This window comes from Homo sapiens, chromosome 7, assembly GCF_000001405.40.
Source record: "Homo sapiens chromosome 7, GRCh38.p14 Primary Assembly".
In the NCBI taxonomy this organism is placed as follows: Eukaryota; Metazoa; Chordata; class Mammalia; order Primates; family Hominidae; genus Homo; species Homo sapiens.
In genome coordinates, this window is record NC_000007.14 from 122,986,994 (window position 1) to 123,012,634 (window position 25,641).

Genomic DNA, 25,641 nt, shown 5'->3' on the forward strand with positions numbered 1-25,641 from the left:
ACAGTTTTGAAGAGTACTGGTCGGATATTTTGTAGAATGTCCTTCGATGTGGGTTTGTCTGATGTTTTTTTTTCATGGTTAGTCTGGGTTTTTAGGGAGAAGACAACAGAAGCAAAGTGTCATCCTCATTACATTGTACCAATGGTACATTCCATCAGCATGTCATATTACTGATAAGGTTAACTTTGATCACCTGGCCTAGGTAATATTTGCCAAGGCTCTCCACTGTAGTTTTCTTCTCCCTTTTTATATTCTGCACTTCAGAATAGAGTTGCTAAGTACAGCCACAGTGAAGGTGTGGTGAGTTAAGCTCCCCTTCCTTGACAGGGGAGTACCTACATAATTTTTTTTTCTTGCTATTTTCTATTTGTTTTCTACTAAACAATGTTGAGATTAGCTAGTTTCTTAATTTATGTTCTTTGGAAACAAACCCAAGCAGATTCCTATTTAAGGTATGTATGGAGGGAATGTTATCAGGAGAAAATGAATGAGGTAAGCTGGGTAAAACAAGGGGAAAAAAGCTACGCAAGGATGTGGCCTCAGCTGGAGACCAGTTTTGAACTGAGCCCAAGGGGTATTCTGAGCATGAATTGCACCATAGATTTAGTCTGGTTCAAGGGGGCTGGCCTATTATACCTCCATATCATCCAACCATTAGCTAGCTGCAGGGTGCAGTATTGTGGGCTGGGAATAATCTCCCAAGTGAGCCTGTTCTTGTTAAGAGTTCTCTCAAAAGAAGGGGTGCCTGGGAGCTGTTAGGAGTCAGCACTGACAACAGCTGGAAAATAAGTGCGTTGACTTGGTAAAGTGGGTTAGGGAGAGAAGTGAAGACCATATTCTACAGCTAATAATCTCCTTTTCTGTTCCTTACCATTAATTTTTGGGTTTTATTTTTCCATTGAAATAGACTGCAAACAGCATGGGTGACACAGGTTGTTGTGCAGCATGTACGGTCAAGCTCACCAATTTCTTACAGGTCCTTTCTGCATTTATGTTACCAGTCCTGAAATTATTAGATTTCAGGACCCTTAATTTTAGTAAATGCCAAGGTAGCCATATTTAGTTATCCTTGTTTCTTTTAGATTTTTTCCCCAGTATTAATTGCTTGAGAATGTTTATGATTTATTTTCATATGCATTTTAGGTATAAAAACATGTTTATGATACCTAATTTTTAAGTTAGTGAACAATGGTGATAGATGTGGGATGTATACCAGTGCCTATAATTTACAGATTGTAAGTATTTGCATAAGAAAGTTGTGGAGAGATTGCTCTTTGTCTCCCTTTGCCCCCTTGTTGCCCCAATCTTGTGAGCCTTCAGTGGAAGCTGGAAAGATAACATGACGGTCTTCAGACACACAGAGCAGCTAAGGTTCTATATGTGACTAAGGTTCAGCCAAGCAGAGGCACCCATTGGAGTCACAGAGGAAGTAAGCAATGTAGGGTAGTGGCTGCACATGTGAGGTGTGATCCTGGGTCAGAGGTATTTGATGCCCCTGGGACAGCTATGATGCAAATTCTGCAGCCTGTTCCCTAATGTTATGGAAGCCAAGTGGCAGATGGTGCTGCTGGCAGACGGTGGTATGGTTGGATATTTCTTCTCATTGCCCGCTTCTGCCATTTTCCTAGTACTCCCTGAAACTGTATATGCTGCCTAAAAATGTGTAGTAGATTCTCCATACTCAGACCATCTAGACCATATTTCATTGCCTACAACTGAGAACAGCGACCTTGGCAGTGAGAATAATAATCCTAAATGCCAGCAGAATTATTCTCAAAGTAATATATTAATGAGTACCAAAATGATGCTACCACATGCTAGGTCTGCTCCTTTGCTTTATGGGCCTAGAAACCCATTATTATTAGTTCTCCAGGATGGTCAGGTTTAGAAACAAATGCATATACCTGAAACTGAAGCTGAAAAAAATGAGACTGAAGTGGGCACAAACATGAATTAAATGGTCAAGATGTCAGGGAAATTTCTGCCTCAATTCAACTTACATGATCATTAAGCCTAGGTCAAGAAAACTGGGACTGAGTGTGAAGACGGCAAAAATGAATCTCACGGGCACCAATATATCAATGTATACAAGGATCAAAAATATAACAGGAGCCACAGAGTGAGTGCAGCTTTGCAGTGTGAACCTTCTGTCTTTCACAGGATGCTCTCAGCATGGGGACAAAGGTGGCAAAGCAGTCTGTGTGGGGATCAGCCACCAGCCCTAACATCCTGAATTGGGCCCTGAAAGTCATGTGCCATCCTCACATATGCACGTGTGTTTTGCATCTTCCATTTACCTGGACACACAATCACAACGTTAAATGCCAAATCACAATCAAATGAGTGGGCGAGGGCATACGGTGTAAGAGATGAAGGAATTTATATGACCTCGTGATAAATTCCTCAGATAACAGCTTGAAGGACTTGTCACTAGGACTAGAAAGCTTCAAATTGGTTAACCCAGCATCCTCCTACCCTGGGCAGGTCTGGATGAACACAATGGAGTTCAAACTTATAACCTTTTCATCTGCTTGTTAAAGTTTATTTTGAGACCTGTTTTACTTCTCTTTCAAGGTAATTTACTCCAATCTGGACTGCGCTTTAACCTAAATCCTGAGGTTTGACTGGAAAACCTCCTAGCCACCCATTTTCTGGTTAATTCTTAGATTGATACATTTAGGCCAGAAGTAGGAAGGGAAGTTGATTTCTTGATTTACCCATCAAAAGACAATCTGATTTCCAAGTTCTTGGAGTGAGCCTGATTCAATCCCTCAAGTACTGACAACACTGATCTGCCAAGATTCTCAAGAAATATCTACCTACACATTCTATCTTTAGGCTATAAGAATGAAGCTTGTGAAATTTATCTTGCCTCTAATTTTAAACTTAAATTTTAAGATCTACTTTCCCCTGCAAATGCGAATGATTATTCTCAGTCATTTTGACTGCACTTTGGCTGTGTTTGAATTACTTTCATGTAGCATATTTTAAAAATAAAAGTTCATTTTTTGGAAATCCAGCATTTAGATTAAAATTTGAAGAAAAAAATTTATGATAAGAAATTTATCTTTTATTCAACCAGTGTAGCCTGTCACTTTTTATAAATTTTATCCCATAAATGATTTGAAGGAAATTGGCAATTGAGTTTATCCTACTGTATCTTTGCTATAAAAACTAGCAAAAAGCCAGTTTACACTTAGCATCAGTTTTGTAAGTTTTATTAAAAATAGAAAAAATGGTCTCAAATAAATGTTACTTTGGGAGTTTGAGACATGGCTAATGGATTGTAAATAAGTCTCAGGGATTGTATTAAAATCTCTGTGTAGAAAGGCCAAAGAAGCTGCATTTTTTCCTTCTATTAGGAAGAATTTTGGCATTATTAATAGACACAGAAATCGTTGAATTATACCAACTGTAAGCACATGCTCCTCTAGACTTTATAAGTGTTTCCAAAATTCTGTCCTTTAATATGCATTTCTGGAACAAAAGTGAATCTGGGTAATTTAAAAAATTAGTTTTATCATTTAGTTATGCCATTATTCTTTTATTGCTGCAGTGCAACTCATATCATTATCCTTGGTAGTCTTTCTTTTATTTTGCTCTTTCTTCACCTCCTTTTTAAAGCAGCAAGATCAAGTATGAAAAGAATTTGCCATAATTTACAATAGAAATACAAGAACAATAAGAACCAATATCATTAACAAAATATAAACTCAAATGCCAGAATGGAAAGAGAGTGGAACTTTATGTTAAAATTTCTTAGGTATGGAAAGGTATTGTGATAAATCCCCAAATTTAATGTTGCTCTGTCTAAATTCCTTGGCCTTTGGCTTAACCCTCCCTCCCTCCCTCCTTCCCTCCCTGCCTCCCTCCCTTCCTCCCTCCTCTCCCCTCCCCCTCCCTCCCTCCCTCCTTCCCTCCCTCCTTCTTTCCTTCCTTCCTTCCTTCCTTCCTTCCTTCCTTCCTTCCTTCCTTCCTTCCTTGCTTTCTTTTGAGACAGTCTTGCTCTGTTTACCAGACTGGAATGCAGTGCCACAGTCTCAGCTCAATGCAACCTCTGCCTCCCAGGTTCATGTGATTCTCCCGCCTCAGCCTCCCGTGTAGCTGGGATTACAGGCGCCACCATCATGCCTAGCTAACTTTTGTATTTTTAGCAGAGACAGGGTTTCACCATGTTAGCCAAGCTGGCCTGGAACTCCTGACTTCATGTGATGTGCCATCCTTGGCCTCCCAAAGTGCTGAGATTACAGGCTTGAGCCACTGCCACCTGGCCACACCACCCTGAATGCACCCGATCTCATCTGGTTTAGCTCTTTCTGAGAAAAGAAATTTGTCTGTTTAATAAGTGGAATGCAATGCACGATACCTGACAAGCAATCTCAGAGAAAATGTAGAGGCATTTCACATCTTACTGATTTTTTTGTCTCCTGTAACAAAGTTATTGAATAGGTTGTGCTCCAAAGAAACAAAGTTTTCTCTGGCTTCTGTGTTCAAAAATATTCCTAGAATGACCCTTTCCCAATTCTTGATGGCATTATAGATTCCATAGCTTTCTAAGAATTTTCTCATGTTTAGACTTTAAAGATTCTAAATCAAACACTAATCTCATATCCAATTAACGGCTTCTTCTCTTCTCCTATCTTAGGCGTGGTGTAGAGGCTGGAGAACAGCAGGGAAGAAAGTGGGGTAAATTCTTTCACTCCCCTATCACGTCCTCTCCCTTCTTCTGTATTGTGTGTGTGTGTGTGTGTGTGTGTGTGTGTGTGAGAGAGAGAGAGAGAAAGTTATCAGGCAACACACTATACTTTTAATAAAAAGCATTATATAGGATAAAGTATTTACAAATTGGACAACACAGGTGCATTAGCTCCTTGGTATCTTAATTTCATATCTAGCTAAAGGAAGCTGTCAAAAAATGTCCTAGCTTTTGGTCACAATCGTTCTGTTATTCTTTTCAAAACATCTTTTTATTTATTTATTTTTGAGATAGAATTTCTCTCTTGTTGCCCAGGCTGGAGGGCAATGGCACGATGTTGGCTCACTGCGACCTCCACCTCCCAGGTTCAAGCAATTCTCCTATCTCAGCCTCCCAAGTAGCTGAGATTACAGGTGCCTGCCACCATGCCTGGCTAATTTTTTTTTTTTTTTTTGTATTTTTAGTAGAGATGGGGTTTCACCGTGTTGGTCAGGCTGCTCTCAAACTCCTGACCTCAGGTGATCTACCCCCCTGGGCCTCCTGAAGTGCTGGGATTACAGGCGTGAGCCACTGTGCCTGGCCAGCATCTGCTTTTTAAATCATATCTTTTTCCAAATTAAATTTTTTCTCATTTAAAATTTATCTCTCGGTTCCCTCTCCTCTTCCATTGACTTCAGATTTGGCATTAATTTAAGTAAATCACTTGACCTTCTTAGGTTTATTTTCCAGCTAGTTTGGATTAGGTGACCTTGATTTGTCTTTTAGTCCAAAATAAGAAAATGTAAGTAAAATCTTTTTGCGAACAATTAGGTGCCATTAATATAAAAGTTAGTTATTATTTCTGTTTGTATTTTATTTTTTTCTGATTTCTGGATCCCCTCAACTGCTTCTAACACTCCTACCTTATGCATAGCCTGGATAAGTTTTCCATTGCACTTTACTCAAAAGAGACAGTGAGAGTACTAAAAATATTTAACAGCTTCTGGAATAGCATCTGTGTGTGTGATTGTGGGGAGAGGGGGTGTTCTTTTTTTCCCGTTCTCTATTTATACACATATGAGAAGAACGGTTTCTATTTATTTCAGCTATCTGAGGTTTTTGAACATGCAAGACCTCATCTGGATGTGGATGCAAATGACAAATAGCAGTAGAATCCTAATTTCACTGGCTCTTGTTCAATCTATTCCAGCAGGATCCCAAACCCTATAAGGCACCTCCCCTCCAGCCTCCTAAGCATTCCTGGGAGTCAACTCAATGCCAATATCTACCTTTTTTTTTTTCCTTTTTTCTTCTCAGACCCATGGTTAGGACTCTGCTCCCCAGTCATTACTGCATCCACCAGGTTTTGTCCCACCTTCTACTGCAGTGAAACCATTGGACCTAGGGAGATGCAAGGCTGACAGGGTGCTTCTGTGGAGTGGGACAGCATGCTTCACTCCCCTCTGTGTGCAACAGTAGGAATGCTGCTGAGATATGCCAAATGGCACAGAGTCTTTGGTAAAAGTGGTCTTTCAGTTTTTACTTATGTTTCACACCTTCAGTTTCAAATATGAATTTGACTCAGAGACAAATCAGAGTGATAAGCCCACAAGCAGATCAGAATTTCCATTCCTTTCCAGGACTAAGCCATTCTTTCACAGTCAAGCTTGAGATACTTGCATCCTTTGCCCCATAGGATGATTTGCTTTCAGGAGGTGTTTCAATCTTCTAACGGCAGAGCTAGAAGATCAGTTCACCAGACATGCCCAATATATACAAAGGGTAGAAAACATCACATTATTTACGCTTGGTACCAGAATGGTGTAAGAGATGCAACTGGCTTTAAGAAGAATACCTTAATAAGTATCTGGGGTGGACAGAGGCTGAGACCCAAAGGCATAGTGGTTGGACATTACCAAGACACATAGCTGCTGGTAGTTGAGGGTGAAGAGGAGATAAATGAGGAGTGAGATGCCTTGGAGATAAGGGCATGGGGTCCTGCAAGGGAAGAAGGTATGAGAGAAACGTGTCAGACAGGGAGGCAGAAAGAACGTCTAAAGAATGAGTATGTTTTATACGTGATTTTTCACTGATTACTGTGTGATTTCTATATTCTTATTCATTTTGGGAGGGCTTTGGACAGAATAAAAAAGTGTAGAAAGTGTAAGCCAACGCCACTCAAATGTTATGAGCTAAGAGTGGTTCTTAACTGATATCTGGGTTGTATATGGGAAATAAAACAACTATGTCTCAACATGGAGATGTTCCATCAAGTTAATAATACAATACAAGTTATAATACAATAGAGAGGCAAGAATTGAGCCAATGGAAACCATTTATAGTTGTATAGTTGACACAATTAAATTGTCAATATTTGGGGAATTATTAAGGATGAATCTGGATTGGGTAAAGTGTCTGCTATTCTGGGGAAGAGTATAATGTTTTGGCTAATGGAAATGAAGAAAGAGTTAAATTTTGACTTGAGTTTTAAAGAGATAAAGACATGGCATTTGGAAGAGAAGCAAATAAGAACATTTGTGTCATCAGATAAAAGTCCAGAAACAGCCAGGGGATAGAGAAAGAGAGAGAGATGGAGAGGGGGAGAGAGAGAGTGAGGGAGAGAGAGAGAGAGAGAGACTCCTTGACTAAAAAAGTGAATTGAAGGCTTAGTATGGGAATCATTCAGGGTACAAGCAATATGTTTCTGTGGGATGGTATTCATATTCATGTGTGAAGTAACTGGCAGTCATGGGAAGGTTAAAGTAATGTGTGGACACCATGATTTTGACTGTCTTGTGTAGAATATACCAGGTGTACAATTCCAGAGTTGGCAAGGACTAAGGAGAGATGGGGCAGTCTTGAGCAAGTTGGAACCAACCTGAGGATTGTGAAAGGGAAAGGAAACCAGTGGAAAAGGATAGAGAAAGGGTTGATTATTTACAAATACATGGCTGCGAAGATGGAAGGGAATGAGGGTTGCATTATGGTGATTCACAATGAATTGATTGATAAGAGCAATACTCTCTTCTGGTATTAATTATATCAATTGCTCGGGAGTCTTTTATCCTGTGCCTCAGGCAACCTCTAGGCCTAGCACTTTCCCTTTAGAATCCTTTTCAACGTAGGGCTGCTCAGCATCAGTGAAGTGGAATGCATTAAGATGAAAGCATAGACAAAAGCTTCCCAGACCCATAACCAACATCTCTTATCAAATAGAGTACCTATAATGGTGATGAGTATGGTTAGAAAGTAAGAGGTAAACACAATAAATAAGACGGCAAGGGACCTCAGGGCAGTGAAGCGCGCTTTCATGCTTGGATTGCAGTGACCAGTGCTATGATGTTGTATCTGCTTGGTCAGTGATGCCATGAGAAAGATGGTGGAGGCCAGGAACAGGATGAAAGGAATAACCAATGCAACTGTATGAGCCTGGAACTGATACTGATGAAAATTTTCAAGTTTGTCAGTTACAGTGCTGTTTCTTGGTAGATGCTCCATGGTGAGTAACTGAATTTGAATGTAATTCCCAATAGCTGAAGGGATGATTGTTACACAAGTAATCATCAGAGAACCCAGTAATATCCAGGGAAACAACCTCAAAATTCTCCACCTCAGCCAGAGAAAGATGTGATGGGTGAAAGAAGAGACCTTGATGCAGTAGAACACGGTAAGCAAGCTGTTTAACCAGAATGTAAGGATATTAAAAAATTCCCAGGTGATTGTTAAGTTGCAAAGTACATAATTCAAATTAAAATAGGAGCAAAAATTGTTCAGCATTGATGCCCACTGTAGACAGAAGCGAGAGATGCCCAGGCTGATGAGAATCATGTCCACAGGCATCAGCCTTCTGACTTGCAGCCATTCTCTGCCCAGCACTGCAACAATTAGGCTGCTCTGCACAATAATTGTCAAGGACTCAAGCACATAGATGATCATGAAGAAGACAGTGAGTTGGATGGGTATCATTCTTCTACTCCAAAGTGTCTTCCTGGACAAAGACTCTGAATCTCTGTACCAATTTCCAGGTAGAGAATGGGTTCCTGATTCCACCACTGTCTGGTACAAGAAAACCCCTCTCTCTGGAAGCAAATTTTCCCAAGCTCATTTTTGATTTTGTCATTTTCCTATCTATAGAATTTGTTTATGCTTTGCTTGCTGGTTTGCTATCACATCTGAATGTAGGGAAATGTTTAAATGTGGATTCCTGCTCCTGAGGTGATTTGATTATTCCAAAAAGGCATATGTATTTCATAACCATGTTGTTTATTTCCTCTTTTTCTGAGGTGCACTTAGCTTATTTCCTTATCTTCTTTAAATGACATCTTCACTCTTTTAACCTAAAATTTGAGCAACAAGAAAGATGAATCCTTCCCTGTTCATTCACGTCCTGCATGATGTTTCTGCTCTGTTGAGTGCAGTACCAAAGCGAACCTCAGAAGCCCTATCTTCCCAGTTCTCATGGCAGCTAGTGGTGGATGCTACAACCAAAGTGTGAGGGTAAATAAAAATGATAATGAAAAGTCTTTCCTCCGAAATTCCACAAAATTGCTGAACCCCAGACCTTCAAGTATTTCCATCCAATGCAGGCCACTCTCATAACTGCCCATTGAATTCCCCCACTTAGAGAAATCAAACTGCAGAGAAAACACTGCACACAGCCTCTCTTAGCTATTGTTCTTCTGCCAATTCCGATGCTTTGAGCATATGCCTTATATATTTTCAGGAATTGTTCTTGTCCCATTAACATCACTGTGTGTTTTTTTTTTTCTCTTACATGGCTAGGTTCTTTTTGTCACTGCTCCCATTGCTCAGGAAGAATTGAAAGAGGACCCTCTTACCACTAGTAAAGCGTATTACTTCTAAATGTGCAGGCATCATTTCATAGCTATACAAGCAGGCTATAAAAGGAATACGTTTTCCTTCAGTTCAGGACAACTCTTCCAAATAGACACCAAATATGTAATAAGTGGCTTCAGAAATGAGAGGTTATTCTAATTGCTAGTTGGTGACAGAGACAAAGTGAAAGTCATTGACCTTATGTATGATAAACTCGGAGTCTGTATGGACTTTTTAGTCATTCAAGGAAGACAACACAGAAGCAAGCAAACATGAATCTTAGAATTCTTGAACACAAAACAAGAAACTACTGAACTCATGAAGCAAAGGTAAGCAATAGCTTGAAAAATTACACCAGAAAACAGAATTAAGTGTAAGAAAGCATCTGCTTTGCATTCTCAATAAAATGCAAGAAACAGGAAATAAAAAACTGAGATGACAAAACAATATATATTATTAAAAGGTGAATTGGTTGAGATGTATCCAGACATAAGAAGGGAGAAAGATGAGATATGAAATGTTGGTATGTGAAACATGCAATAATAGCATTAACCTCTAATTTATGTCCTGAATACACTAAGCATGTTGCCAGCTATATACACTGCCCCATTCTGAGTAAACTTGGAAGGACTGTGATGCTCTCAATCTCTGTCTGAGGGGTTGTGAAAGTGTGGCCACCATACTACACCCCTCATGACTGGATTCCAGCCACAATAGTATGACCAGGAATGAGTTTCTGTCCAAAGCAGCCCCTCATAGACTGGCCTGCTGCATGAGAGATGGCCTGGCACTACTCTACTCCACTGGAGTGTTTTCTATGTGATAGTGGCTGATTAAATAACCCAGATACTCTTTTTGGGAAAGTTTGAAGGTGAGACATACAGAGTGTCCATAGACTGGTGATTGATGTTCCCTGGGGTTAGGAGTTGAGAGTCTGGCTCTTTCATCATGTGTGCATGTGAACCTTCAGGGCCACCTCTGGGGTCTCCTCATTGCAGTGATCCCAATTCTGGTTTGCCTTCTTCCACTCTCCTTTAGCTCACACCCTTTCCCTTATCAGACAGGGGATTGTTGTCCCTTAACTAGTCCTCATTGGTCAGGTGCTGGCAAGGTGACTGAAGCTCAGCTACCTTCTGCAGTGTACATTTGATCTATGGCAAACTCTGGCATTCTTTTCAGTAAAAATGATAAATGGCAGGAGGCCCATGCCTCTCTACTCTGTCATCTCTCCAATTCTCTTTCCCCCTTCTCAGGTAGACATGAGGGAAGGCCCACCAGTTTTTTTCCTAATGTCCCACAGGGAAAAAGAATGCCAATTTATGTTTATAAGCATCTACTATCTTCACTGTTAGAGATTTTGTCTTTTTCTCATTCCTGAGCATACTCCTAGTTTCCTCTAATACTTTATTTACTTCCCCCTGAGGGAGGCAGACTGTTGTATCTTATTTGCAAATTTGATAGGAATAACTTGCCCAATTCTAGACTTTGCTATTATCAAGCAAACATTATATATATACACATATGTTATATATAACATATGTATATATATTAATATATGTATATATAATATATATACATATGTTATATATAATATATAAATGCTTGCTATTATCAAGCAAACATTTTATATTTATATACACATATACATTTTTATATATAAAAATGTATAATACACACATATATACACATATATAATAAATTAAGGGTGTTTCTAGATGGTACTCTTTTTTGATGTGTATGTGTTTGTGTGTTTCATTAAAAAACTTTAAAAACAGGAAAATAAAAGAGCAGGCAATTCGCCAAAGGGTAGACAATAATACCAATTAGTTCATAAAAGGATGCTTAACCTCTCTAGCAATAAGAAAAATACAAATAATACTGAGTAGTTATTTTTCATTTTTCTCATTGCAAAAACAAAATAAAATTTGAATATCAACTCTAAGAGAAGATATGAAAAAATCAGAGTCTTTATGAACCACTGGAAGGAATATGAATTAAGATAGTTACATTGGAAAACAGTTTGGTCATATTTAATAGAAAATGTACAGACCTTATTCTGCAGGCATTCTACTTCTAGGTATATATTGTATATTATAGAGAAATCCTTACACATATATAAACAAGCAGAAATTTACTAGTCTATTTATTTCAGAATTGTTGTAATACCAAAAGACTGAAAACTATGTACATGACCATCAGTTAAGTAATAGATCAAATGTGGTATAATCATATGATGGCTTAAAGCCATGTGGATGTTTGCCTCCCTGCAAGCAAGTTTGCTACATTTTTCCCTTATAGGCAGAACCTATCTCTTTCTGGAGAGGCTTTAAATGCCAGACTCTTAGTTTAGTGTTTTCTTTGCCTGTTCAGTTTGGGCACACGAATCAATTCTGGTCACTGGGAATAGAGGAGAAGCCTGCTGAGACCTCCTGTGACAAACGTTTCTCTCTGATAAGAACAGAGAGATTCATGAGGAGAGATTCTTTCCTCTTCATCTTGTGTTTGGTGTTATTCTGTATTGTGCATGGTGCTAGGAGTTGTAGACATTTCGTGACCCTGAGGGGAAAACAGCGGAAATTGCAAAGAAACTAACACAGGGCCTGATTTTGTGTAATGCTTATTAGTACTGGGCCGAAGTAGCTCTGAAATCCTGTTATGTGAGCAGAATATACACTGATAGATTAAACCACTTACAACTAGCATGTGGTACTGAGCAGGTGGGATAACACTGAGAGGGAGAAAGAAAAAGTGCTTTATTTGATAATATTTTCCCCTCACACAGCAGTATAATTAATTGAATAAACTTATTTCTGTATACCTCAGTTCCACAAGTAAAACATAAGGAATGATAAAAATGATCACCAAGATCCAATAAAAACATAGATTATAATATGCAGATAAGGCAGTAAGTGTGTTTCTATGTTCATACATAAATCATGTGTTCCATAAAAATATAAATTTAAAATAATGTAAAGAGAAATTTATTCACCAGCATTCTAACTTATGTAGCGGAAAGCAGATAAATGTGTCTGGTTATTCCCAGGAAGTGAAGCAACCAGAGCAAGGAACAGGACCACACTTTACCCAGCTGCACTAGGTGGAGGGAGGACATCACAGAGGGAGCACTGGGTACTGAGTAGAGAGGCCAGAGAAAGGTTTGCCAGCAAGAAATAGAAATGTACCTTATGTCATGTGATTCTTCTGCTCAACTCCAGAAACTTATGGGAAAGAGCATGACTAACACAAATATGAGTACTTTTCAGTTGCATAGGGAAGGGACTCTGAATCTGGTTCTGAAGAGAGAAGTGATTGAGAAATGCCTGTGGACTCAGGAGTACAGTCTTGAAAAGCTGAGAAAGTGAGGGGTGGGTCTTGTTGGAAAAGCTCAGACTGCCCCAAGTCTAGAATTGGGATTTCAGTCAAACTTTACCTGGATCTCAAAGGCTCACGTGATGATTGAGCTATATTTTTGGTTTCTTTACAAGGGTAACCAATAATATCCGGGATTAAATTATCCTAGGCTGGATGACCGAAAGTGCAACGTTAAGTATTTCTGATTTCTGACAAACTCGTGCAAAGGAGTGGAAGCCAAGCTGAATCGTGCCAGAATGTTTCTTAGAATTCTATTCCAGAGTCAGACAAAATGAGCAGACATGCTGAGACAACGTTGCAGGATGAGAGAGGCACTGGTTTGGATTTTTAGGGTATTTCAGACAAAGCTAGATGAACTTAGTCTAAGATTTTTTTCACGTCCCATTTTATTTTTAATTGATTAAAAATAATTGTATATATCTTGAGGTACAATGGGGTGTTTTAATACATATTTACTTTGTGGGATGATCAAATAAAACTAATTAAAATATCCATCACTTCAAATACTTATTTGTATATTTCAAATACTTATTATTTCAATAATACTTTGAAATAAGTATTATTTCAAATACTTATTATTTACCTCCAGAAAGAGATACTTATTACTTCAAATACTTATTATTATTTTAATAATTATAAAATTGCTTATTTATAAGTAATTATAAAATTGCTTATTTATAATAAGTAATAACTATTACTTATTACTTGTTTCTGAATCCCCCCAGATTCAGAAAGTCCAGGGACTTGGTGGAGAAATTTTTAGTGATAAACTGGAGTGATAAACAGTTTCATATCCATAAGCAATAAGGTCAGTGGACCCACCATATCAACTTTCTTTTCAGGAGCAGAGAACCTCATTTCAGGGGGTGAAATGAGCGGCCTATTTTCCTGAAAATGCTGCTTCCTCGTGGGTAGGCATGAGATTCCCGAGGGAGGAATACTGATTCAGAAGTGGAGAATGTCTTAGAAAAAAGCCTAGGTTGGAAATTCCACTCATCTCTTCAATTATCTTTAAATTCCTAATGTTATACAATATTTAGCCCCCAGACTCTATATTAATGTGGTAACCCAAGAGCATCCCTGAATGATTGCACTAGGGAAAATAAGGCCCAATACAGAGAACTATGACTTCACAGGAGAAGATGAGATACTATCCCCATATTTAAGTCCATATAGTCCTTTTAGGTATATGAGGGCAGAAAAACCCCTTGAGATCAGTGAAAAACAAAACAAAACATGATGTGTGTGCATGCGCATACACACATTCTTACATTTAACTAATTCTTAGCCTATATAAATTTACCTTTATTACTTATATAGAAATTATAATTATAATATATAATTATAAATTATGTATTATAATTATAATATATAAATTATAATTATATATTATATAGAAATTAAAATATTTACTTAGGTCAATCAATGATAAGAGACCAATGGCTTTTAGTGGGAGCACTGACAATCAGGTTTAATTTTTGGTTTGAAAGTGAAGTGCTACATAAAATGGGTGTTCATAGGTCTCTTGATTCAGCAGCTAGGACACGGTAGCACAGAGTAGGTACTTAGAGAATATCTGTTGAATGAGTGATGAGTACAAGGAGAACAGACTAGAGAACTCTGTATTCTACTGCATTACAAGTGCAAGGGCCTGGAAAATTATGTAACAAGTTTCCTAACATAGAAGAGAAATACACACTGTTATTATCTGTGATTATATTCCTAAGTCATTCAAATACCTGGAATTGGCAAAGATGCCAAAACATAAGTGTGCCCAAATTGGCTACTTTTTAGAGAGAAATTTATGTTTTGGGGCATTTCATCTGAAAACAATACATTAAAACTAAATAGGACAAATGGTGATTATAAGTTCTTCTAACTCATATGTAATCATGTAACATTATGATAAGAGTGGTTCTCATGATCTGCACTGCTGTGAAATGTATATTGGCAAGCAGTGTTTAGACCAATGAGACTGGTAAAATGGATGTCACAAGTCAACACAACCTGAATTCATTCTTTCTGGTCTTGCCCCCATTAGATGTTAGTTTCCTTACACTGTTGTAGACAAAATAATGGCTCCTCTAAATGTTTACATCCTAATCCCCCAAACCTGTGAATACATGAACACATTAGCATATATGACAAGTGGGACTTTGCAGATGTGAACTGTAAGATAATAAATTTATATTGTTTTCAGCCATTAAGTTGGTGGTAATTTGTTATAGCTGCAATAAGAAAGTAATACACACAGCAACTATAAGAGCCAGATAACCAAATTCTAGTTACTTTACTTGTAATTTATAGGCACCTGTACTTAGTAACTAGGAAAATAATGAGTTCATACACAAGAGAAATGACAATAGACAGAAGAGACTGAGACTACTGAGACAAATCAGGTTATACAAAAAGATAGCTCATTTAGGAACTATTTATTGTATACTTGAGTTTCACTGGAAAGGCCTGTAAGTGTCAGAGTTGCACTTTGAAGTCAACTGGAAAGTTTCAAAAGCAATAACTGAGGCATGGGTCCAATCTCTATATTCTGATTTGTCTGGGGTATAACTAGGTATCAGAATTTTAAAAATCACCCCACCTGATTCTTTTTTTAAATTTTTATTTTTTTAAACTTTTATTCTAAGTTCAAGGGTACAATTGCAGGTTTGTTACATAGCTAAACTTGTGTCATGGGGTTTGTTGTACAGATTATTCTTCATCACCCAGGTATTAAACCTAGTACCCATTAGTTATTTTTCCTTATCTTCTTTATCCTCTCATCCTCCACCCTCTGAAAGACCCCAGTGTGTGTTATTTTGTTGTTCCCCTCTATGTGTCCATGTATTCTCATGATTTAGCTCCCATGTACAAATGAGAACATACGGTATTTGGTTTTCTGTTCCTGTGTTAGTTTGCTGATGATAATGGCCTCCAGCTCCATCCATGTCCCTGAAAAGGACATAATCTTGTTCTTTTTTATGGATGCATAGTATTACATGATGTATATGTATCACATTTTCTTTATCCAGTCTATCATTGATGAGCTTAGATTCCATGTCTTTGCTATTGTGAATAGTGCTACAGTAAACACACATGTACATCTGTCTTCATGATAGAATTATTTATATTCCTTTGGGAATATGCCCAGTAATAGGATTGCTGGGTCGAATGGTATTTCTGTCTTTAGGTCTTTGTGTAATCACCACACTGTCTTCCATAATGGTTGAACTAATTTATACTCCCACCAACAGTGTATAAGTGTTCCTTTTTCTCTCTACCTGAAAAGGTGGCTCAGTTTCAGATCCACTGCTTTAGAGCCACCTTTGTGGAAAAAAATACCCTGCATGGGTGGTGAAAATAAAAAAACCCTGCTACATATAATTTTACCTTGAAAATAATCACTAGGGAAGAGTGAGTTCTTAATTTTGTAATTTTAGCAGTTGGAAGAAACACAGGGGTGTCAAATTCTCTGGAAAATGTCTTTTTGTTGTTGTTGATCCATACTATGAAGATGACCCTCTTTAAATACAATTTTATCCCTAAGTTCATACATGCAATGTGAATCTCACTCCAATTTTGTGAAGATGCATCAGAATCTTCTGATATCATTGCCAAATCACATATCTTAATTATTCTAGAAAAGCTACACCTTTTCTGTGGCTTCAAATGAAATGTTTAATGCTCTGTACTGTACTTCAATCTTTTCAAAGCATTCACCAACTCCTGTGTGCTTTAATTATCTAAGAGCGTTAGAGCCTGCACATTATGCAAAAGAAGGACCATGGCTTCTAAACAAAGCCTTCTCCTCTAAAGATCCTATGAAAATTTACACTCTGTATGTCTCTTTTAGCCACCCCATGTTACATAAATCCAGAGATAATTCAGCTTTAGAGGTAATTAAATCTACTCTTGCTTCTACATATAGTATGAGAAGCTTCTTTTAGCCTGTGACGCAGGCTCATTTTTCCCAGTACATATTTCTGTTCTGTGGAAGAAGATTGCAACCACCCTTCAAGACTGTGGGAAAAACTATTTCATCCTCACCTCAGAAGGAACAGCACATTTTGTTTATCTGCCTTCCCCTTTTTACACCCACTTCCGGAAAATTGGAACTCCTTCCCCCGCAGGCCTGTCATGAAGTGTTGTGCTTTTGACCCTTGTTAAAGCGATCACAGATTTATAAAACAAAACAAAACAGTGGATTCAGATGTTTTCCAATTAGCCAAACACATTTTTTTTCCTGTGTTACTAACATTCAGTAACAATCAGAATTGATATTTTTTCATGTGGCAATGACTCCCAAATGATCTGCATTTTAAAAGAATATCTAACAGTAACTAAAAGGTAAGGTTGTCCAAGTATGAGGTTAAAGAACATCCTTTCTCCTATTTCTAATTTTGCCACCAACCTATGTGGCCTGGAGCAAGTCATTTTTTTCTTTGCCTTTTATCTCATTCTTTAAATAAGCATCATGGCACTAATTTGTTTAGTTTCCAATTTATTGAATGTACTCATTTCTGAAACCCTGGGAGCAGGTACCTAGTCAAATGGCAGATTGTAAATTATGGAAAATACAAGAAACATAACTTAATACTAAAATGAAGCCATCCGCAGGCCTTAGGTAAATTCAGACCAAAAGGAACTGAAAAACCACCACCACCGCCAACAAAGCATCTAAGATTCAGGTGATGTATGTAACCCCAACGGGCATTGCCCCTGCTTTTATCATTTTTACCAAGCGCTATCCATGATTGCCTGGAAACTTTGAACACTCAAAGTGCAGAGCTTTTGGTGATCTGTGGGAAGGTGGCAGAGAATAACTCTCCTCCCTCTTCTGGTTATATTCTGTTAGAGGATTACCAATGCTCAACACACTCCCAAACTTCAGAGAAGTTTTACTTACTTTGCCTCTCTCTCCCAGGGATATACTACAAGTCTGTGAGGCTGGGAGGGGTTAGGGCAGAATGATAACCTCAGAAACATCTCTCTTGTTTAAGGTCTAAAGCAGTGGTTTCCGTGGATTAACAGCATTAGTATCATCTAAAAAATGGATAGAAGTGCAAATTCCTGGGTCCTATCTCAGACCTACTGAATTAGAAGTTCTGGTGATTGGACCCAACAATCTGAATTTTAACAACCTTCCAGGTGATTTTTATGCTTGATGAAGTTTGAGAATCATGGATATAAACACAACATTTGGTTCCTTCTAGACTTGGGATGACTCAGTTCTTGCACATTCAGGCTATTCCTCAGGAGGTTCTTGTTATAAATAGATTTGTCTGACTCCAGTGGAAGACACAAGGGCCCCAAGCTGAGATTCCACCAAATATAAAAGAAGTGAGGTGTTTTTCATTTTTTAATTATTTCTATTTTTTTTGAAGGCGTCTGGCTCTGTTGCCCAGGCTGGAATGCTGTCACATGATCTCAGCTCACTGTAATTTCCACCTACTAGGTTCAAGCGATTCTCCTGCCTCAGACTCCCATCAAGCTGGGGTTACAGGCATGCGCCCAGCAATTTTTTTGGATTTTTAGTAGAGACATGGTTTTATCATGTTGTCCAGGCTGGTCTCCAACTCCTGACCTCTACTGATCTGCCTGCCTGGGCCTCCCAAAGTGCTGGGATTACAGGTGTAAGCCACCATGCCTGGCTGAAGTGAGTTATTAAAAAAAAAAAATGATTCCCCACTGTGAAAATATCCTTGTTCTTATTTTGAGGAAATATGACATTCTCAGAACTCAACTGCCTTAGAGAGAGGGTTTTGAATAAATCCCTGCTTAATGATACATGGTAAAGACAAATGAGAGGGAGCTGGGCTGCTGAGGAGCAGTGAGAAACATTCCCCTGGTCATCATCGGGCTCCTTCTCAATTACCAGGTTAATATCTCATCAGCCCTGGGTACCAGCCCTCACAGATGCCTTGGTTGCATTGGATACCCTGGTGTGACCCAAAAGATATGCATGGGTAAAAAGGAATGGGGAAATGAGAATAGCAAGAAGAAGAGAAAGAAAGATGAAGAAAAGGGAAAGAGTAAGAAATGACAAAGAGAAAGGACAAGAGTCCCCAAGCCTCCTCGCCTTTATGCCACCCTAGTTATTCAGAGTCCTTCACAGGCTTCCTCAACCCCTTTGCAGAGGCAAGGAAGGCTCTGCTGGGATGATGCCCCTGGAAATAATGGAGTTTGAAAGCGATCATTTCTTAAGGGTAAAAATGCCATGCACCTGCCATTTTCCTGCTAGACCCATCCCCCACTCCTCAAGCCTTAGTACCCAAATACACAAAGAGCAGAAGAAAAGAAGCTGCTAATAATTTCACAGCAGAAAAAAAGGGTGTAATAGTGTAAACTGCCTTTAATCAAATCATACCTGATAAATATGTGTCACTTCTTTTCTCAAAAATTCGAAGGCTGAAAATTATCAGGTGAATGTCTCGTCTGGCCCAATGTTTTTAAATCGTCACCCCACCCATGACATGACTTAAAGCCAATAATAAAAAACAACAATCAACCCCCCCCCCAAAACAAAAACAAAACCAAAAAAAACTCCAACAGTTTCACAAGGAAATGTGCATTAGGTAGAAGCTTGTCAATAGGGTTAGAAAGAATTAGAACATACACATATAAGCCTTATCATGAAAACAATGAGAAAATTCTAAAATGCAAATATGAGACACAATTTTCAAAAAGTTATTCTTAAATAAAAGACAAATTCTAAGTTTAACAATAGGATCCATATAGGTAGTGTTGCTGGAAACAAAGAGGGCCCTGTTTCTTCTTGCTATTTCAATTTCACAAACTAGAAAAGGAAGCAAACACCATTTAGCTGGTCTTAATATACTTCACAAGTCTAATAATTTCCTCCAGAAACAGAAATTCTATGTGAGTTATAATTGTGTTCATTTATTCATTCAGCAAATATTTATCAAGAATCTGATTAATATCCTGATTCTGGCTCTCTTCTGCGCTCTGGGGAAGGGAAAGGAGGAGTTTGTGGATGTTAAATTAGAGATACCTATTTTAGATATTATTTTGGAAATAATGAGTGGGCAGTTGAGTATATAGATCCAGAGTTCAAGGATAAGATTTGAGCTGAAAATATAAATTTGGGACTCCTTTGCATATCTAGATGTTCTTTAAAATTGTGGGATAACACGGTATCACCTAGTGAATGACTGTAGATAAAGAAGCATTCTGAGGACTGAGCCCATGCATACTTCAATCTTTAGTGATCAAGCTGAGGAAGAACCAGCAAAGGAGACTGATAAGGCCAGTAGGGCAGAAAAAAAAAAGAGTGTTTCACAGGGGTCTGAGTTATCAGCTATATGAAATGTAGTTGATTGATGAATAAGGTGACCCCTGAGAATTGACTATTGGATTTTAGCAACATGGAAGTTATTGGTAATCAACCATGAGTTATGGACTGAATTATGGCTTCCCAAAATTCATGTGCTGAGGCTCTAACCACCCAGTACCTCAGAATGTAACTGCATTATATTATAGATAAGGTCTTTGAAGAGGTAACTAACTCAAAATAGGTTCATTAGGGTGGCCCCTAATCCAATATGACTAGTATCCTTATCAAAAGAGGAAATTGGGACACAAACATGCACCCAAATTTGAAAAACCCATCAGAAAAAGATGGGCATCTGTAAGCCAAGGAGAGAGGCCTTAGAAGAAACCTATCCTGTTGATGTGTTGATTTTGGACTTTTTTAGCCTCCAGAGTGATGAGAAAATAAGTTTCTGTTTTTGAATTACCCAGTCTGTGGTACTTTATAAGACAGCCCTAGATAACTAATACACCATGTGAAGAGCTGTCTTGGAAGAATTGTGGGAATAGTACTCTGAATGGAATAATAGTCTGATTGGTTCAAGATATAATATAAGGATAGGAAATGGAAAAAAGTATAGAGAAACAGATATATTGATTTGTTCCTGGAAGGGAAAGGGGATAAACTTTTTTAAAGATTAACAACGACATATTTATATATGATGGAAGTGATCTAGATCTAGTGTGGGGGGGGATTGATGATGCAAGGGAGACAAGGAGAGAGAGAGAGAGACTTTGACCTCGAGTAGGCAAGAGAAGGAGTTGGCTTTTGTTATATAAAATCCTGTTCTTCCCCTAATAGCAAGAAAAAGACATATACACATGGTAATAGCATGTGGAAGTTCTTTTCTTATTGTGCCTATTTTCTCTCTACAGTAGGAAGCGAGATCCCACTAAGTCAGATTGAGGAAGGGATGAAACTTGAAGTGTTGAAAAGAGAGATTAATTTGTGCCATAGATATTCAGGGGTCAGAGATGCCTAGGGGGTTGTGTCTTGCAGAACTCTAAAGGGAATCATTTACATAGACTAGTCAGCAAGGAAGTGGTGGCAGCTCTGCCTATGAAAATGTGCTGGTCAGATTCCCTGCTGTTGGAAACTTGATTGACTAGTGCCCTCAGCTTCTGCCATCCTAGATTCACAAACACATTTGCACCAAAAGCCACTCTCCCCATGGGCTGCTCTCACCTAGCAACTAAGCACAATGAGTAGAAGGAGAACTAATGCAGGTCCATTCCTGGGAGATGGGGGACTCCTCAATTGTGTGAGTTTGGCTCTGGGACAATCTTATCAAGCCTGGTGAAACTTTCTTAAAACTGTAGTTTAAGAATTGTTCTACCTAGTCTTTTTCCTCCACTTCTCCTTTGTAGATGTCAGGTTTGCATCTTAGTCTGAATTCCATCTCTGCCTCTTATAGCTTCTTCCCCTTTTTGTTTTGCATGACTTTCTCTAATAAACGTCTTGCACATCTAATACTGTCCTGATGTCTGCTTCTTGGAAGTCTGTACTTCCAAGTAGTACCAGGAGTGGTCTAAAAAACAGGTGATAAGATGGGGTTAGGGTTTAGGACTTAACTCATCCTATCAGGCAAAGAGGACCTCAATCTGAGTACTGTTTGGTGCAGAAATAGTCTCTCACACAATTTTGTGGCCTAGCTGCTAAAGATTCCACAAGTGGTGGCCTGGGAAAACATCCCGGTTGAATGAACTGTCCATGCAGTTAGAATGATTCAGTCATTTCAAAGATACAAAAGGAACAATACCTACAAAGAGTTGGTTAGTTACTACTAAGTTGTAGAGAAATAAAAAGAAACTGAGGGCCATTGATAAGCAGTTGAAGGCTAAGTGTAAGAGACAGGCATGTTTGGCAGTTTACAACGAGGCCCTTATCTCTTATAGTGAAAGAACAAAGAGTAGACATAACTGAGCAATGAAAAGAAATGTTGATAGCTGGTGTTGCAGAGACTCTGAGCCATTTAAATGTCTGACCAAGGCAGGTCTATTAGTATAAAGTCAGGGTCCTTGTTGAAAAACGTGAGATACTTAAACATGGGATAGAAGATATCTGAATGTCTGCTTCTGAAAATTTTTGTCTATACAAACAAACCGAACAATCAGAAATTTCAAAGGTATTCCACCTGTAAGAGGTAGCACATCTTCCATGCTAAAAGATGCTACAGAATACTCTCCCTAAAAAGCAACAAATGCAGCCCACAGCTGCTGCCCCATCTCCTCCCCTGGGTGGCAGGCTGATAACAAAAGTTAAATCCCAGCAAGATCTAGATGGGGACATGACAGGCCTGATAAAAAAGAAAAGAGATCAATCATGAATGAAACTATGGAAATTAGTTAGATGGATTAATAGCAGATTAGATCTATGGATGAAAAGATTAATAAACTTGAGGAAATAACAATGGAAACTATCCAAAACAAGACTCAGAGTAAATAAGAGCTGAGAAAAAAGAGAACAAAACTGTAGAGCAAATTCAAGTAGTCTAATATATGTATTATTGGAGTACTTGAAGGAGATAAGATGAGGGGAAGGAACAGAAAATAAATTTAAGATATTAAAAAAATTGTCTATTCAGTAGGTAAATGAATAAATGAATTGTGGTACATCCATACAATGAAATATTATTCATTACTAAAACGAAATGAGCTATCAAACCAAAAAAGGCATGAAGAAGCCCTAAATGCATATTTCTATGTGGAAGAAACCAATCTGAAAAGGCTATACACTGTGATTCCAACTATATGACCTTTTGGAAAAGGAAAACTATAGAGACAATAGGAAGATCAGTGGGTACCAGGGGCTAGAGAGCAAAGAAGATTTTTAGGGCGGTGAAACTGTTATGTATGATACTATAATGCTAGATATGTGTTATTATGCATTTGTTAAAACCCATAGAACATGCAATGTCAAGAGTGAATCTAATGTTACCTATGGATTTGGGGTAATAATCATGTGTTAATGTAAATTAATGAATTGTAACAAATGTATTGCTCTGTTGCAGGATGTTGATAATGGGGAAGGCTGTGCATGTTTGGGAACAGGAGGTATAAGAGAACTCTAATTTCTGTTAAATTTTCCTGTGAAACTAAAACTGCTCTAAAACATAAAATCCACTTTAAAAAATAATAGGAAAAATTTACTTTTGTGAAAATTATAAACTCATGGGTCTAAGAAGCACAATGAACCTTAAACACAAGAAACATGAAGATAATTATACCAAATTATATTATAATCAAATTTCTTAAAATCAGTGATAAAGGGAAACTCTTAAAACTAGCCAGAGAAACAGGGTGACTTGAGTATAGAGGAAAAAGAGAAAGGAATAGCAAAGCTTTCTGGTAGGAAACAATGGAATGCCTGATCCACACGTACAGAATCTTGTAGAGTACAGATTTAAATCAAGTGGGAGGTTTCACATCACAGCAAAGGTGGTATAGAAATGGACCCATGACTATGGGATCCACTGATCACATATCACAACATCTAGAAAATATAGACTTCTAAAGATAGAGTGGCAGAGTCAGCTCAGAGACAAGAATTTAAAAGGATGGAATGCCATCCTTTGGGATGTAGTATATACATGAAATTAGAGACTTCTCTATGGCATAATTGCACAAATAGGAAGAATATATGGATGTGGAAGCCAAAGCAGGAGTGATCTCACTTAATATTATTCCCAAAAATCTACTGGCGATTCTGTGCTTCATATACTTGCAACTCTGGGTTCTTCAGGGTTGGAGTGCTGAATCCCAATAAGGGCATGTTTTTGCAAAGGGACTGATCAGGGTCCCATTGAACTATAATATATAGCTACCACTAGGGCACTTTACACTGCTTGTGTTGAGAACCAACAGCTGAGGCATCATCATCATGACTAGAGTAATTGACTCTGATAATTAGGAGGTTGTAAGGCTGCATTTATACTATGTGGCAGGAGGGAATACATAGAGAATCCCAGTTGCAGGTTAGAGATTACAACTGTAATTAAAAGTCTAAAATGTGTATAGATGCTAGCATAATAGAAGTAAGAAAATATGTCAAATACATATGGTTACCAAAATCTTTTTTGAGTGATTTAGGGGAGGAACAGGAGATTATGTAGTAAACTTACTAGGGAAAGACATTTTCAGCAAAAATAAAATGTTCAGTTAACCATAGTCTTAAGTCTTATGTCAATCAAAGGAAGAATAAGCGAATAACTTCCTATTAATTATCACTTAGTTCTACTTGTCTAGAGAATACTTGTTTGTTGACATATCACTAATAACTGTTGTATGAAATGAGATCTATTTGTGACAGATGAGCTTTCATTTTTTTATGTTTTTAGGCATGCAATTATTTTCCCTTGTTGTAGCCTTGAGTAGAATGAGGTTAAGATATGGAAGACTTTATGTTTTTTTCTGGGATTCTCTGAATATTTAACAATTCTTTTTTATTATTAAAAAGAGAAATAATGATTAAGATGCCACGTGAGTTTTGATATTTGCCCACCTTGAGAAAAAAAATATATTTTCTCAGTTTTCTCCCCAACTTGGATATGCTCATTTGATGGATTAAGGTATTTCCTGTTTTGTGGAAAAAACTTGCCATGCTAGGTTTTCTTTATAGTCATTTTCTCTAGGCTATTTTTATATAAGTGGTTGCCTACCTCATTATCACAACTCAAAGATTTAAGAACAAAGCACACATTTAATATTTTATACGCTCAATGCAGAACCATTATTCAACCTATCCAGTCATGATTAATCATTGTCCATTTCACTTGCCTGGAAGAGACAGAAATCTTTATTACTCTGTGTAAATAAAACAGCACATCAAAAATAATAAAATCTAACAAAAGGAATGCTTTACTATGTGCCAGCAACTCTTTTAATTACTTTATAAGTATTTTCACTTAACTTTCAAATCATCTTATGAGATAGGTACTGTCATTAACTCTATATTACCGGTGAGGAAGCTGCTGCACAGCTAGTACAGGTGGGGGTATTCAGGCTCAGAGCCTCTGCTCTTTGCTATTGTAGCCTATGACCTGCAAGTATTTAAGAATATGATGCAAGTTATTGAAATTATTGAAATACCCATTCTTCTGCCAAAAATCCTCTTTAAAAGTAAGTATGAGGTGTAACAAAAAGAAGCATAAAAATAAGTCTCTAAAATGTGAAATCTTTTTTATTGTTTTTAGACTCTAAATCTAAGAGTTTCTGTGTAGTTTTGTTAGAAAATATACATGGTGAAAATTTAAAAAATGCTTTTTATTATGTTAGTAGAAGCAAAGACTTTGTATAACATCTAATAAAATTCTGAAGAAAAGATTTCCCACCTGTAATTTGCAATCATTCATTTGCTTATAAATACTACATTTCTATTAACAGATCATATAGTCCTTAGAGACTATATCAAACTAGTAACATATTTTGACCATCAG

The 25,641-nt window shown here is 37.8% G+C and overlaps 1 protein-coding gene across 1 annotated transcript, besides 1 other annotated feature; it reads right to left on the minus strand.

The window, feature by feature from the left end:
* Positions 419 to 924: an enhancer, noted in NCBI's record as "NANOG hESC enhancer chr7:122627466-122627971 (GRCh37/hg19 assembly coordinates)". NCBI's record gives its function as "activates a minimal SCP1, AML or CMV promoter by ChIP-STARR-seq in naive H9 embryonic stem cells {active_cell/tissue: H9 hESC(naive)}" and the evidence as "EXISTENCE:reporter gene assay evidence [ECO:0000049][PMID:30033119]".
* TAS2R16 (taste 2 receptor member 16) lies at positions 7,711 to 8,707 on the minus strand. The gene has a single exon (NM_016945.3). It carries the CDS (start codon positions 8,639 to 8,641, stop codon positions 7,766 to 7,768), a length of 876 nt encoding a protein of 291 aa, NP_058641.1. The 5' UTR covers positions 8,642 to 8,707; the 3' UTR covers positions 7,711 to 7,765.

Excerpts from the sequence above, each read along its gene's own strand:
- TAS2R16 (NM_016945.3), bottom strand. The coding sequence starts at position 8,641 with ATGATACCCATCCAACTCACTGTCTTCTTCATGATCATCTATGTGCTT.